The 3,644-nt window shown below is 52.1% G+C and overlaps 1 protein-coding gene across 8 annotated transcripts in view; it reads left to right on the top strand.

The window, feature by feature from the left end:
* CHI3L1 (chitinase 3 like 1) overlaps window positions 1,528-3,644 on the top strand; it is a 7,774-nt gene continuing 5,657 nt past the window's right edge. For all 8 annotated transcript variants that reach the window (XM_047442848.1, XM_047442846.1, NM_001276.4 and 5 more), the window contains exons 1-4: window positions 1,528-1,633; window positions 1,887-1,916; window positions 2,847-3,048; window positions 3,600-3,644. The exon at window positions 3,600-3,644 is cut by the window's right edge and continues 12 nt beyond it. In XM_047442848.1, coding sequence (XP_047298804.1) covers window positions 1,609-1,633; window positions 1,887-1,916; window positions 2,847-3,048; window positions 3,600-3,644 — 302 coding nt within the window. In that variant the 5' untranslated portion in view covers window positions 1,528-1,608. The remainder of the gene's footprint in view (window positions 1,634-1,886; window positions 1,917-2,846; window positions 3,049-3,599) is intronic.

Below are 3,644 nucleotides of genomic sequence, written 5' to 3'. Positions count from 1 at the left end.
AACAAAGGGAGATAGTGAAAATAGGAGGTGTTTTCTTAACATCCTGTGCTCTGTGATGAAAAATTTTGCATCTGCATGCCACTTCATAATATCACTATTAGAAATTAGAAGTCCTCCTCTCAGTGCCCCAAATGAACCAGAAGAAGCTATCATTGACTGTCATTGCTGTCAATCATCTTGGGTACAAAAGGAGGCAGTCATCTTAAAAAGGAAAAGTGATGCCTCTTTAGTATTCACCGAGCGTGATTCTGGACAAGCCACTTTTTGTCCACCTCTCTTACAATGAAGGGAAGGCACTGGCTGAGTTTTAAAGGAAGAGAAAGGGAGAGAGGGAGAGAAGAGGGAGAGAGCAGAGAGACCTCACCGAGAGAGCTGCAAAACCAGCCTGGAAAAATTAGAGTATTACCTAACATTAGTGAAAAATAAAGGTACTTTCTTGAGAAGCCCTTGGACCCATTCTGCCTCTTGGAGTTCTGAACTTTTCACTCACTGCCTATTAATTAATGTTAAGCCTGCAAAGAATGGAGTTGTCCTGGATATTTGGCCAAAAAAAAAATGTATCCACAAACAGGGACGTAATCAGGCAGGGAGCCTCGTTAAGAAGTTTTGTTCTTGTCCTAGGAGTGATGAGAGATCACTGAAGGATTTAGAGAGGGGCTGTATCATCAGGCTTGGGTTCCAAAGCCTCACTGAGAGAGTTGGGGAGCTGACTGATGTCAGATGCTCGTGCAGCCGCCCCGTAGGGCCTGTATTTCCTCCATGGTGCCTCACTGCAGCACCGAGCTTGCAAAAGATCCTCTCTCTTTATGGGAATTTCAAAACAGAAGCAAAATAGCACCGGGGCTTAAAGCATTCTTGGGAATTTCCCTGTCTTTCCCTCTAAATAATCAGCATGTAAATTGCAAAAAAAAAAAAAAAAAAAAAAAAAAAGACACGGGCCCAAAAGGGAGCGCTCAGTTTCAGGCTCTTTGCTTTCCTTCCTCCCGAGGCTCTCTGGCCCTTACCCAGCCTGAAGACAGAAAGTGTGAGGGGGAGGGTAGGAAGGTAGGTCAAGCAGGGCAATGCTGAGCCTGGGAAGAAAACAACAGCCTTGTTTAGGGCACTGTGGCTTACGTAACTAAATTGTGCCCAGTTTCCACCTGGCCAGGGGCCTGGAGTGAATGCTGAAGATGCAAAGGTAGAGGCTGCCAGAAAAGCCAGGAAATTGCTGGCAAGAAAGGCCAGTGGTGGGGTGCAGGAGTGGGAGGAAGGCTGGGAAATGCGGCTGAGTCACATCTCCAGAAGCCCCCCATCATCACCCTAGTGGCTCTTCTGCTGGCAGGTGCCTCATGAAGACCTGACCCAAAGTTTTCAAAACTCTGCGGTTTCTCAACCCTCCTCTGGTAATCCATAGTACTCCCCCGCCTCCACTTGCCAGCCTCGTGATTCCTTCATTGACACATAGCTCAGTTCCCATAAAAGGGCTGGTTTGCCGCGTCGGGGAGTGGAGTGGGACAGGTATATAAAGGAAGTACAGGGCCTGGGGAAGAGGCCCTGTCTAGGTAGCTGGCACCAGGAGCCGTGGGCAAGGGAAGAGGCCACACCCTGCCCTGCTCTGCTGCAGCCAGAATGGGTGTGAAGGCGTCTCAAACAGGTATCTGGGCTAGCCAAGGTTAATCCATCAGAGTTGTGGGTTTTCAGGCCCAGACAGCCCGCAGAGCCATCTGCCTGCTGGGTGAGGGACTAAGGGAGTGGGCAGAGGGGGAGGAGAAGCAGAGCCAGGGGAGGGACTGAGGCTGCAACCAGGAGGTGGGGGTGGGGGAGGTGGGTCTCAGTTGCTTGGGGGAGGGAGCAGGGCGGAAGGGCAGGATGCACTTGCAGGGGTCTCATCCTGGATTTCTCTTCAGGCTTTGTGGTCCTGGTGCTGCTCCAGTGCTGTGAGTAATCCCTCCACCTCCACTTTTAAGTCCAGAGGCGTGGCGAGGGCACAGGGCAGGTGTGGAGGAGGTCTTAGCTCCAAGGGAACACTTTGCCAGGTTCTTCTGTGCTTCCAATGACTTCGAAATAGTCACGTTTGCTAAACTGGAGTGAGGAGTATATGGATGTTTATTTTGCTATACTCTTTGGTATATGTGAAAATTCTCAAAATAAGAAACTTTAAAAGGTCCTGGTTCAGTGAAGGCTTTGACTAACAGCCCCTGGGAGCCGCTAGTACAGTTGCCCAGTAGCTGCTTGGATGAGTGATGCCCACATTGTTTGCAGCAGGAGAAACAGAATTAGAGGCGAGGAAGGATTTCCTGGTCCATTGTGATATTGTGCCCCAGCCTGGGGGACATGCCGAGGGAGCACAGGACTGCCATTCCGGGTGGGTTACAAGTTAGAGGCACTCTCACCAGGAGGCAGAGAAAGGTGGGCCAGAGTCCCTCATGGATGAAGGACCTCACTGCAGGTCACTAAAGGTGCCAGCCTGAAAGCCAGGGCCATCTGTGACACAGGCTATCTTGGGCCTTCCCCTCCCACAAAGCCACTGCTTCCAGGAAGCCTGCTGTGCTGGCACCAAGTCCCATTTCATCCTTATTCCCCAGCTCCTACCCTTCCCCCACACAGTGCCTGTAGCGTATTCATCCCCTGCATTGGATCTTTTCTAAGCATTTTCAGAATAGGCCTTATTTTCACCAGTCAGGGAACTCCCCAGAGGCAGGGGGACCTGAACCAGCTCCTTTCATTTAAGAATTCTGACTTTGCTCACAATCTGCACCCCACTCCTCCCTACCCAACCCCACACCCCATTGGTGCTCAGCTCTGGGCTCAGCCTGAGGTCTCTTGCCGAATCCTGGCCCGGGCCCCATCCCAGACTTCTCCTTCAGGCTCTGCATACAAACTGGTCTGCTACTACACCAGCTGGTCCCAGTACCGGGAAGGCGATGGGAGCTGCTTCCCAGATGCCCTTGACCGCTTCCTCTGTACCCACATCATCTACAGCTTTGCCAATATAAGCAACGATCACATCGACACCTGGGAGTGGAATGATGTGACGCTCTACGGCATGCTCAACACACTCAAGAACAGGTTGGGCCAGGGCTGGCCAGGAGAGGAGGGACCAGCTGGGCTGGTCCCAGGGCAGGGCAACCCCACCCAGGAGGAAGGGCGAGGCCCCACCCTGCTCACCTATGTTTGGAGAGTTAGAGGGGCTTGGCTTAAATGGGTGGAGGGGATGACTGTAGGTGCTGGGCAATATTTGGGGTGATGAGAGACTGTAGACGGAAGCGCAGCTGAGCCCCTCTGGGAGAGGGGAACCCTCTCCTGCCCCTAACGTGCTCTCCAGGGAGCATGGAAAATGAGCAAGACTCTACTTTGCCATACTCTGTCTTCTCCACTGGGGAAAACAAAAATGGGCAGCAGACCTCAGAGTAACTCCCATGAAGCCTGTGACCCCTCAGAGATCCACCACTATGAATCTCTATGGGATTCCCATGATGTCCTATGGGAGGACATCAGCGGCCTAACCCAGCCTCTCACCCAAAGCAGGAAACCTTCTATGGCCTCTCAGACATGGGGCCACCCAGTGTCATGACAATGTCATTCCACTCCTGCCCTCCCCACCTCCCTGTGCTCCACAGGAACCCCAACCTGAAGACTCTCTTGTCTGTCGGAGGATGGAACTT

This window comes from Homo sapiens, chromosome 1 (genome assembly GCF_000001405.40).
Source record: "Homo sapiens chromosome 1, GRCh38.p14 Primary Assembly".
NCBI lineage: Eukaryota > Metazoa > Chordata > Mammalia > Primates > Hominidae > Homo > Homo sapiens.
The sequence above is the reverse complement of the archived record's forward strand: the minus strand, read 5'-3'. Positions and strand labels throughout refer to the sequence as shown.